The sequence below is a fragment of the Homo sapiens genome, chromosome 2, assembly GCF_000001405.40.
Source record: "Homo sapiens chromosome 2, GRCh38.p14 Primary Assembly".
Taxonomy (NCBI): Eukaryota; Metazoa; Chordata; class Mammalia; order Primates; family Hominidae; genus Homo; species Homo sapiens.
In genome coordinates this window covers 95,766,488-95,778,329 of record NC_000002.12, presented here as the reverse complement: position 1 = coordinate 95,778,329, position 11,842 = coordinate 95,766,488, and the positions used below count along the sequence as shown (strand labels likewise).

Here is an 11,842-nt window from a genome sequence, read left to right as displayed (position 1 = left end):
AGACAAAATTTCAAAGCAGAAACCATAAGGCAGAAAAAGTGGAGGGGATTTCATGATGTTACAATCAAATAGATCTGTTGCAAGTGACACATGGCAAAATGAGAGAAGTTATGTGCAGTCTAAAACTGACAAGAGATTAGTGGCCTCAATATACGAGGAGCTCCTGAAAATTAACAAGAAAAATAAATAGACAAAGGACACGAGCAGGCAGTTTTTGGGAGAGGAAACCCCAAAAGCCAGGAAGCATATGAGGAAGTGGCTAAGATCATTAGTACAGAAATACACATTCTAACAATAAGATATATGAGGAAATAGTTCTCCAAAAAAGATACACAGATGGTCAATGAGCACAAGAAAAGGTGCTGAGAATCACCCAGAATAAGGGAAATGCAGATGAAAACTACAGTGAGATAGCACTTCATACCCACTAGAATAGCTACTGTCAAGAAAACCCGAAAATACCGAGTGTTGGTGAGGAGTGAGACATTAGACCCTTGTGCACTACCGGTGGGTATGTAAAATGGTGCCGCCACTGTGGACAACAACATGGCCATTCCTAAAAAAAAATTCAAATAGAATTACCGTATGACCAAGAATTTCCACTTCTGGACGTATTCCCAAAAGGATTGAAAGCAGGATGTTAAAGAGATATTGTATATCCAAGTTCATAGCAGCAGCATTCATAGGAACCAAAAAGTGGAAGCAAGTGTCCATTGATAGACGAATGCATGAACAAAATGTGGTCTATACATGCAATAAAATATGATTCAGCCTTAGAAAGGGAGAGAATCCTGTGATAGGCTACATCGTGGATGAACCTTGAGGGCATTATGCTAAGTGGAATAGCCAGTCACAAAAAGACAGTATTCCACTTACATGTGATACCTAGAATAATCAAATTCATAGAAACAGAAAATAGAATGATTGCCAAGGGCTGGGGCAAAAACGGAATGGGAAGTTAGTATCTAATTGGACACAGTGTTTCAGTTTCACAAAAGTAGAGTTCTTGAGATGGATGGTGGTAATGGTTGCACAACAATGTGAAAGTATTTGATACCACTAAAGTGTACAATTAACAGTGGTTAAGATGGGAAATTTTATGTTCTGTGTGCTTTACTACAATTTGAACCAGATACAACCTTATACATACATGGTAGGCAAAATTCTCAGCTGAACTCCAATAGGCAAGCACTTCTGTAATCCTCTCCTGGTAAATGTGCTTCTAATTAATAGATTCTAACAAAGGTGATGATGTGCCATATGGAAAAGGGGAAAAGAATTTGCCAATGTAATTAAAGTCCCTGATCAGTTGACTTTATGTTAATGAAAAAGGACATCATCCAGGGTGCATCTAATCAGGTGAGCCCTTTAAAAAAGGATGTAAAGGTATGAGACTATCTCTCCTGCTGACATTGAAGAAGCAAGTCTCCTTGAGTTCTACAACCACTCGGAGATGAATACTGCCAGCCACCTGAGGCAGCCTGGAATCAGATCTTTCTCCAGTGGAGCCTCTGATGAGAATGCAGCCTGGCCAACACCGGGTTACAGTCTGAGCAGAGCACCCAGCTAAGCCGAGCCCAGAATCCTGGCCCACAGAAAATGGGAGATGAAAAATAAATGGTGTTTTAAGCCACACAATTTGTGTTAACTTGTTCTGCAGCTGTAGAAAACTAATGCAATCTTTTAGGCAAAACTAATCTAGGAAGAGACAAGTATTGGAGCTGGGCACAGTGGCAGATGCCTGTCATCCCAGCTACTCAGGAGGCTGAGGTGAGAGGATCCCATGAGCCCAGGAGTTTGGGGCTGCAGTGAGCTATGATCGCACCTGTAAGTAGCCAGGGCAACAAGTGGGACCCTGCCTCAAAAAGAAAAAAAAAAGAAGTCTTCATGTTGGGTGGGGAAGTGGGGAAGTTGATGAGGGCACTGCTTGTGGAGTGTAGACCAGAGCCACCATTGTGGAGGGATTTTGATCAATAGTATGCATCCCTTACACCCCTGCTATTCCATTTCCAGGTAGAGATGTAAAAGAAATTGACACAGATTCATCAAACATGCACACCAAGATGTTCACTGCAGAGTTCTTTGTGGTAGTGTGGGGATGGGGGCTGCGGGAGGCACCCTAGGGTTTCTATCCTGGGGAGAATGGAGAGACAAAATGGGAATGGTCCACACCATGGAGAATTATGCAGCCACAAGGAGAGATGAAAGGCACACATAGCCACATGGATGGGCCTGAACACAGGGCTGAGTTTAAAAAGGAAGAAGCAACATGGGAACCCAAACATTACCATTTGCAGACATTAAAAAACACATAAAGACTGTATCTCTTTTGAAAGAGCATTTTTAAAGCAGCACAGGAGGTGGGGGAATCTATGGGGAGCATGTTGCCCATGCAGGGGAAGGGAATGGGAGTGAGTGTGGAGACAAAAGAATAAATAAAACAAAAGTGGTTTTATTGGACCAACAATAATTCACTGAGTAGTTTAGCGCAACTTGAGGGTAAAATTAACGGCACCTGGATCTGGGGCAGCTGCAGAGGCAGCGACGTCCAGGCCTTTGTGCAGGGGGGCTAAGGTCACCCGTGCAGGTGGGGAAACAGTAAATGCCAATGAAGCAGGTGTGTGTGGTATAGAGCAAGCAAGAAAGGAGAGATTACTTTGGCCTAAGAGGGATATCTGCATTTATATTACTAATGAGTTTCCACTGTAAGCCACAGAAAGCCCGGCTCAAAGCGATTTTTTTTTTTCTTTGCAAACAGAATTTATTGACTCAAGTGACTAAAATGTCCAGGCTGACTCCCTTGGGTGGGAAAGATGGTTGCCAGCAGGGCCAGGCGTATTCTCTCCAGCTAGGAAACCAGAATTGTGGACCTCCCTTTCTCAGAGGTTTCCACAAAAGCCCCAAGGCTGGTCCCCTTTGGTCAGAAAGAGTGACACGCCTGAACAAATCCCCAGGGCCAGGCCCGGGTCACATCGCCACCTGCAGACAGCAAGGGCTTCCAGCATAGGCATGGCATGAGCACAAGCTCGTGGAGGGACGTCTTTGGGAACGAAGCTGGAAAAGCAGGAGGTGAGGTTCCATGGCTGCCAGCTCAGGCGTGACCTTCGCTGCCACTTACTCAACTTGGAGGCTGTTGGTGGATGGAGGAGAGCCCTGGAGCATTTCCTCCCAGAAAGGAAATGCCTCCAGAAGTGCCTCCCTCTAGGTTCTTCTCACTGCCAACAAGTCCCTTTCCCAGAGAGGAAGGAGGCTCAAGGGCTCAGAGCGTTCTCAACACAAATGACTGTGGGGAGAGCCCTTGTGGGGGCCTGGTTCATTGCAAGAGGGAGCTCATGTGGATGCAAATCTATATAATCGGTTGCCAAAAAAGTACTGAGCCGGCCTGTTTTCATCCTGTACCAGGCGGCCTGCAGAGGACAGAATGTCCACGCTGTCTCTACAGAAATCCTTTCCGGCCAAGCCCAGGGCCTGGGGGTTCTCCAGCACTTAACCACCAGCTTTCCTGCCCTGCCCGCACAGGAGCAGCCAGTGGGTGGCTGCCATTATTGTCTCCAGGGGCACTGGGGGCGATGCTGGGCTGGGTAGGGCTGTGTGGGGCTGAGGGCAGTGTGGGTTCTGAGGGTCAGGAAATGACCTTCCTTTATGCACTACCACAACACCTCCCACAAACCACTCCTCCTGCTGCCTGGGGTTTTGAACACAGTCCTGGCCTCTTTATGGCAGTGGCAGGCAGTGTGGTTTTGGAATGGCCAGCCTGCCACAGGAGGCAGAGCTCCCACTGTGCCAGGAGGCAGAGCTCCCACTGTGCCGGCAAACAATAAGCACTGTTGTTTTTCCCCAGAGTGGGGCTGCCCGGTACTGGTCTGTGCCTGTCTCTCTGGAGCAGGAAATCGAGCAGAGGGAAATGTGTGGATTGGTTAGAGTGCTGTCAGCTGCAAGGAACAGAAAACCCAACTCAAAGGGGCTTAAACAATCAAGATGTGTCTCCTGTGCCAAGCAGTGCAGAGGTAGGACAGCTCAGGGCTGGTTAGATCAGGGCCGCAGGAAGCCAACAGGGACCCAGGTTTATTCCACATTCCATGCTGCCCTCCTCTTCAGTGGGCCAGTCTGTTTTCAGGCCAGCTTCCCTCATAATCACAAGTCAGCTGCCACAGTTCCAGGCATCACCTCCAGATATGACAACACTCAGCAAAAGAGACTCTCTTCTCCTGGATCCATCTTCTAAAGAGTAAGGGAACTTTTCCCAGAATTTCACCCAGCAGCTCTTCCATCATGTCTCACTGGCCAGAATTGCATCACAGACCTATCCTTAGCCAGTATTTGACAGAGGAAACAGGAAAGCCATGACTGGCTTGAAGGGCATGGACTACCCCAATAGCACAGGGTTTGGATGCTCCTGCAGATGCTCCAACAGCCTTCACCACACCAGGAGACAGAGGTTCTTCCCAGTTGGAGATCAGCTTTATTCACCATTGAGGATGTGATGTTTGGAGCTGTAGGGGCCATCTTGCAGCAATGGGGGGAAATTCAAGAACATCTCAGACTTGCTAACGCCATGCTTTGCCTTTACTGGGCCGTGAGACAATCCTGGGACCACATAGGTTTGTTACGTGAGTAAAATGAACTCCTGTTCAATGAGGCCTCCATTAGTTGAGTTTTCTTTACTTGCAGCCCAACTGACACAGAGTTCAGTTGTTTTGAGCAGTGGAGGGACAGGAAAGGCTCCAATGGCGGCCATTCTCCTTTGGGTTCCCATCCTCTGTGATGAGAAATCCTCGTAAAAATCACCCACCAGGACACTGAGATGGCCAAGTTTCTGCTGACCTTCCATGTGTCCTTGCAAACTTCAGAGGAAACTGGACCCTGGGCAAAATGATGAAATTAGAGAGTCCCTGAGCCCTTCTTCTCGCCAGAAAACTCCACCCATGACCCAAATTCCCAGAGGACATAGGAAATTATCAGTTATAATTGCAAATAATAAAGACTTAGAAACCTGACAAGAGGGTCTTAAGCAAACACGGTTTGGGGTTTTTCTATTCCTTGAGTAATGAGAAGCCCAAAGGTCAGGATCCATGATGGTCCCACTGCTGGGGCTGTGGTGAGGCTATAGGGGACCAGGGTCCTTCCAGCTCCCTATGTTGACATCCTCACCAGGTGCCTTCATCCTCAGGGTCACAAATACCTGCTGCTACACCTTCAGGCAGAACTTTGTGCCCCAGGGAGGAATATAGGGAAGGGGAAAGGTACAGTGAAGAGCCACCAGGCCCAACAGGAAAGCAGTAGCTGTCCTGGAAGCCCCACTCTGAAGATGCCTGTCATGGGCTGTACTGTGTTGTGTAACCACCTTTGGCTTTGAGGGAGAGGAAGGGGAGAATGGCTGTGGACTAGGTAGCTAGCTGCGTCGGCCACCAGGTGTGGAGTCCGGAAACCTGGGACTCAACCCAACACTGCTTCCTGCTGCCTTCAGTAACCCCAGGCAGCCCAGGTCATTGCTGCAGCCTCAGCAGCCTCTCCTGCCTGGCAGAAAGTGGGGGAAGAGAACTGCCTCCATGAGGGTTCCTGAAGGCTGGGTGTTCACTTGGCCTTCTCCCCATCTGGGGCAATGGGTCCTAGGGCAAGCATGGGAATGGGAAGTGTGGCTTATTCAAGGCTCTTCTGATGTCAAGTGATAGAAATTGATTCAACTCATCTATAGAGGAAAAGGGCGGGTGATAATTAATTTATTTCAGACCCAATGGGCAAGAGGAGCAGTCAGACCTCAGGAAGGACCTGACCTCAAGCTAGCAAGCCCTTGGAGACAGAGGCAGCTGCTCCTCCTTGCTCCCCGGCCCCAGGGTTGCCTGCCTCTGCTGTTCTCCCCTCACCCACTATACCTTCTTTCCGTCTGGATGGAAAGGGGTTTCTCAGCCCCATAGCTTCTGCATTCCCATGAACAATGGGCTGCCAGCCTCTCTGAATTCGTATTTCACATTCCTAGGAGAGACTGTCTGATGATCCAGCTCACCCTGGTGTCTGTCTCTTGGCCAGTCAATCCAGCCATAGAGTTAGAGCAGTTCCCAGAAAAGAGGGGCTGGATGAGGCTGACCAGCACACTGCAAAATTGACTTCAGGGGAGGAAGAGAAGCAGAGGCAGGAGGGTCCTCTTGGAGATCTGGGGGAAAGAGAGACAGGGCATTCCTTTAGGACCTGTGCCTCAAAGACCAGTGGGAAGAGACAGCTGGGTGAGGACAGGCTTCAGGTACTCTCATGTGTCCAGATCAAATATGGCTTTAACCCCTCTCTAAGTCATCGCAAATCTTTATTTTGCAAAGAGCAGAAAATCCCATTCAAATGGCTTGGCCGAAAAAGAGAATGTGTGGACCCACCTAACTGAAAAGTCAGAGCCAGGAGGGACTCAGCCATGGTTCGATCCAGAGGTTCAACATTTACTTGCAATATTTTCTCTGCAAGTTTCATTTTGTTTGTTTCCAGTTCTCTACAAGTCATTCATCTCTATTTCTTTGCGAGACAGTTTCACTTGAGGCTGGCTTTCCCCCTGTGGCACAAGTGGCTGCTTTATGTCAGCATTTCAGTGAAGTCCTTAGATGGGCTCTGAGTGGCCCAGCTTTTGTCACATGCCTCCTCCTGAACAAATCAACTTCTGTTGGGAGGGAAGGTAGTTTGCCGATTGGCTTGGTCAAGTCACAGTCTCCCTTCTTCTCACCCCCTTCAAGAAGGAAATCGGCTTCTTTGGGCTCACACCATCCCCCAGCAGATCTCTGGACTATAATCAAGAACAGGGAGAAAATGAAGCAAGTGTTCCCACACCAGTCATTTCCAAGAGCTGGCCAGTTAGCACAGAACAAGAAAACACACGCACGGGGCACTGGCGTGTGGGCAGCTGAAGAAGGGCCCTGAAGATGTACAAGTCCTAATTTCTGGAGCCCATGAATATGTTAGGTTACATGGCAAGGAGAAGTTAAGGGCCCAAATGGGATTACGGTCACTAGTCAGCTGACCTCGATGTCAGGAGATTATCCTGAATTATTCAGGTGGGATGTGCAAGGGGGAGGTAGGCGAGTCCGTGTGAGGGTGCGCAGTGTGAGAAAGCCTCACAACAATTGCTGGCTTTGGAAATGGAAGGGGGCTGTGAGCCAGGGCATGTGGGCAGCTCAGAGAAGCACAGAAAGAGATTCTTCTCCACAGTCTCCAGAAAGGAACGCAGCCCCGATGACGCCTTGGCTGTAGCCCAGTGACACCCAGGTCAGAGTCTGACCTCCAGAACTGCAAAATAATAGATGTGTGTTGTTCTGAGCCACTGAGCTGGTGGTAATTTGTTACAGCAGCAGTGAGAAACAAAAACACGGCATTCCAAGGGCAGGACTCCGCATGACAGGAGTGACAGAGTGGTGCCCAGTGCAACGGTGTGTGACAGAAATACAACATGCACTGCAATGGGGATCTTAAGTTTTCTAGTGGCCACATTAAGAAAGAAAAAGAGGCCGGGTGTGGTGGCTCATGCCTGTAATACCAGCAGTTTGAGAGGCCGAGGTGGGTGGATGGCTTGAGGTTGGGAGTTCGAGACCAGCGTGGCCAACACAGTGAAACCCTGTCTCCACTAAAAATACAAAAATTAGCCAGGAGTTATGGTGGGTGCCTGTAATCCCAGCTGCTCAGGAGGCGAGGCAGGAGAACACTTGAATCTGGGAGGCAGAGTTTGCAGTGAGCCAAGATCGCACCACTGCACGCCAGCCTAGGCAACAGAGCGAGACTCCATGTAAAAAAAAAAAAAAAAAAAAAAGAAAGAAAAAAAACAGGTAAAATTAATTTCAATAATATATTTCAACCCAATATATTCAAAATACTATCATTGCAATGTGTCATCAATATACAAAATATTGAGAAGGTGTTTCCCATTCTTTTTAATCCCCAGTTTTAGAATTCAGTGTATATTTTACACACAGCACATCTCAACATTTCTGAGCTCCTTTTCAGTGCTCATCAGGCACACATGGTTAGTGGCTGCTGCCCTGGACAGCACAGGCCTAGTGACTGTACTTTTGGTTGTAAGGGTGGCAGTGGCTGGCATGAACCAGAACAGGGGTTTGTTTGTGACAGTGACAAGGAGACCGCTAACCCCTGCCGATCTGTGTGTCCAGTTTTATTTCTCTTTTTTCTAATTTTTTTATTTCCATACATACCCTGCTTGTATATCAAGCTCTTTTCTAATCAGGGATCCTCAAATGACAGGAGTTGACCTCTGATTGTGTTTGTGCATTTCAAAGCCCAGAGCTGTGACCTCAGCCATGGTGGGCAGGATGGGTGCTGGAGAAGGGCATTAAGGCTCCCAGCTTTGTGGGGGAAATGGCATCTTCTTGAGTGAGTGGGGAAGTGCAAATAGAATATGCACAAGCTAGGAAGGACATTTTTAAAGCCTGTGCTTGGGACATTCTTCCTCTAAAGGATCAGGTGAGCTGGCTCAGAGCAGGGAGCCAACCACCGAGCCAGGGTGAGAGGGCTTCGTATTTGGAGAGTGAAAAGAATACGGTTGTTCAGGCTTTGGACTCGGAGCATCAGAAACTCCAGGAGAAATGAGATCAGCTGAAAAAGAAATGGGTTTGATGTTGTAGACCAAACATGAACAGTGGGGAACAGGCTGAAAAATGAGGGGAGAACAGTCAGCAGCTTCCACGGCTTCTCCCAAATGGAGGGAAGTGGGGCCAGCTCAGGGGACAGGCTGGAGGCTTATGACGGAAAGATGGTAGGATCCAGGTGTGGCAGGACAGGAGGCAAAGCTGGAGGCTGCTATGGGACAGAGGGGGCAGAGGGAAAGTTGTGCTGCTAATGGGGTCACAAGAGTCACTTATGGCATGGGGCCTTCAAGAACCAAGGGAAGCCCTCCCAGAGCCCAGCACCACCACAAGCAATGCTCATGGCTCCAGCCAGCAAGACTTGGGGTAGCAGCCCCCAGCCTCTCTCCCCATACTGGGGACAAAAGAGAACTGGAGAAGCCAGAGAGAGGGAGCTGGCCAAGCCTTTCCAGAGGGCACAGCCCAGGCCTCCACCATCCTCTCCCCATGTGTGCTCAACCCTTAAACACTTTGCTAAGCATTACAGGTCAGGCCCCTCCCCTGTGTGTTCAACCTTTAACACTTTGCTAAGCATTACAGGAGTTCTTCTGCTAGAAGTGGCCAATCAAATGTCCCTGGGCTTGGCTCTTGGTCCATGGCAACATTCCTTGCTTTTGGAGAGGGTGTGGGGTCCAGGAGCTAAGTGTACCCTTCAGCCAAGTCATATATCCTCTCACTCAACCTCACAATAATCATTCCAGGTGGTATCATTCTTACCCATTTTACAAAGGTGAGGTTGACCCTGTGTAATAGTCAGGGTAGGCTTGGTTATGCTGCTGTAACACACAGCTCTAAACATCTCATAACTTAACGCAGTAGTTTACCTCTCACTCCCACTCATGGGGGCTGGCGAGGGAATCTGCTCCATGCAGGTCGCTCAGGGATTCAGGCTGATTGAGGCTCTGCTGTCTGGAACAGTGGCCTCTGCCAACTTCCTGGCAGGGGAAGACACAGATGGAGGTGCGTACTGGCTTCTTTAGAATTTGGCATGATCCTGCCTAACTAGAAAGGTGCTGAGTAGTCTGAGGAACATCTGGGCTGTCTGAGGATCCCCTAGTCCCCTAGATTGGGAAGTGGGAGCGAGGCTTAACTGAAGCGTGTCTAATGTCAAAGTCCTTGCTGTCAGCCCCGCCTTATGCAGCTTCCCCCCTAAACCACTGTGAAAACGTGTGAGCTGTGTAGTAATGTGCCAATTCCAGGGGTGTCAACACCATGACCCCCAGATATTCTCATACACTGCCTCCTTAGCCCATCCCAGGCAAGGAGGGCTCTGCAAACCAGGGACCCTGCGAGGCCAGGGGACAGTGGGATTATACTGCCCCATCCCCTCTGGCCTGCCTCCCGCCCTTCCAGCCTGCTCACTGTGTCCCTGCTGAGTCCCATGACTCTCAGCTGCCCTCAGGATCCTGCCTCCGAAGAGTCCTTTCCTTCCTGTGGAATCTGGAGTCTGGTCCTCCTTCTCCAAGGCAGCACCTGCCAGGTTCCTCACTGGCAGCAAGCAGCCTTGCTAACAGCCTTGCTAATCCGCTAATTACCTGCTTCTAGCAGAAGAGCTGTTAATTGAAAACTCCATCCCCTCCTTTAATTGCCTGCCTGCCTCTGGCTGTCTAGGCTTCCCTGGGTTCTCTCCAGGCCCACAGCCCTTGGTTCTCTGCCTTTGGGCTCCTGACTTCTTCCTGGTCAATAAGGGTGTCTGTGGCTGTCTCTGCAGTGCTCATTACTGGGGTTGCCAGGTGAGAATCCGGGGCTACACTCCCTAGCCTGCAGCTAACAGCCTCTCTCCTGCCTGGCCCACTGTGGGAGGAAGGAAAGCATTTAATGCAATTTGCCCCAGAAATTAAGGGGGAGATAACAGGCCAGTGGGAGGATTCCACAGGGTAGCAGATTTTACTGAAACCAAAGGCTGAACTCCTCCAGGTCAGAGCTAGCCAGAGGGGCCGGCCACCCAGAGGGGCTGCACCACTTCCTGGAAGGCTCCACCCTGACTCTAAGTCTCAGCCCTGCCCGGAGGATTTTCTGACCTCAGTCCTTTGAGGCTGGACACACGAGGTCTCAAGGTGGCCCCGACCTTAATCACCACTTCCCTCCCAGATACATCACCAGATTCACCAGGCACAGTTAGAATTTGGCAATATTGACAATCTGAAGAGTGAAAAAAAGTGAATTTCAGAAAAATGAGGTCAATATCCCATTTTCCAATATAACTGTATGAATATTGTATACATATATGTTGATAAACACCTTTTTTAAAAGGTCTGATACAAACCCCATCAAACTCTTACTAAGAGTGGCTACTTCTGGAGAGTAGGAGAGGAGAGGGAGAGGGAGGACTCACAATGGATCTTTACTGTTTGGATTATTTCACTAGAAAGGGAGCAGGCGAGCATTAGTCCTCAAAGGCCCTATGATCTTGAACAAGGCGCCTGGCCACTCTGAGCCTCAGTGCCTCATCTGTAAGAAGGAGGCTTCTCCCATGTCCCCTTTTACTCTGGATTAGGACGCGTGGTTGAGTGCAACCTAAACCAACCCAAGCTTGTCTAAGAAAAGGGGAAGAGTTTCCCGGGACACAAGGATTTTTATGCATCCAGACCTTAGGCAGCGGAGAGAATCCTGGGGAGGGCTCTGCACGTCTCCTTACTGTGTGCCTGCTTCCTGTAAGGTCCTCTGAATGGGCTGCACCATGGTCAAGCCATTATGACCCCTGTGACCCACACGTACAGGCCTCCTGGAGTCACAAAGCCTGGAGCACTAGGAGAACCACTAAAGAAGAAGAAACAGCTAGTTCCTGCCTTAACTGATGAACTGACCTTGCAGCATTGCACCATTGTGATATGTTCCTGCCCCAACTAATCCATCCACCTTGTGATATTGTGCCTTGTGACCTCCCCCACCTCGTGACTATGCACCTTGTGAAATTCTTCCCCTGCCCGAAAAAACTGCCCCTAACTGTAACTTTCCACTACCTACTCCAAGCCTATAAAACTAACTCCACTCCCACAACCCTCCACTGACTTTCTTTTCGGACTCAGCCCACTTGCATCTCAGTGGATAAACAGCCTTGTTGCTCACACTTAGCCTGTTCAGGGCGTCTCTTCAATCAGACACGCGCAGAACACTTCCTTCTCTGTCTTTGAAAAATGATCTCTCTGCTTCCACAATCCCACAGTGCAAAACACAGCAGCCAGGTTTACACCTTATGGGCCCAGCCCTCTAGAGAGTTGCAGGTCCTATTT

The 11,842-nt window shown here is 49.1% G+C and overlaps 1 annotated feature.

Moving 5' to 3' along the window:
* Positions 11,642-11,842: a silencer, noted in NCBI's record as "peak3793 fragment used in MPRA reporter construct". NCBI's record gives its function as "represses an SCP1 promoter by STARR-seq MPRAs in K562 erythroleukemia cells {active_cell/tissue: K562}" and the evidence as "EXISTENCE:reporter gene assay evidence [ECO:0000049][PMID:32103011]".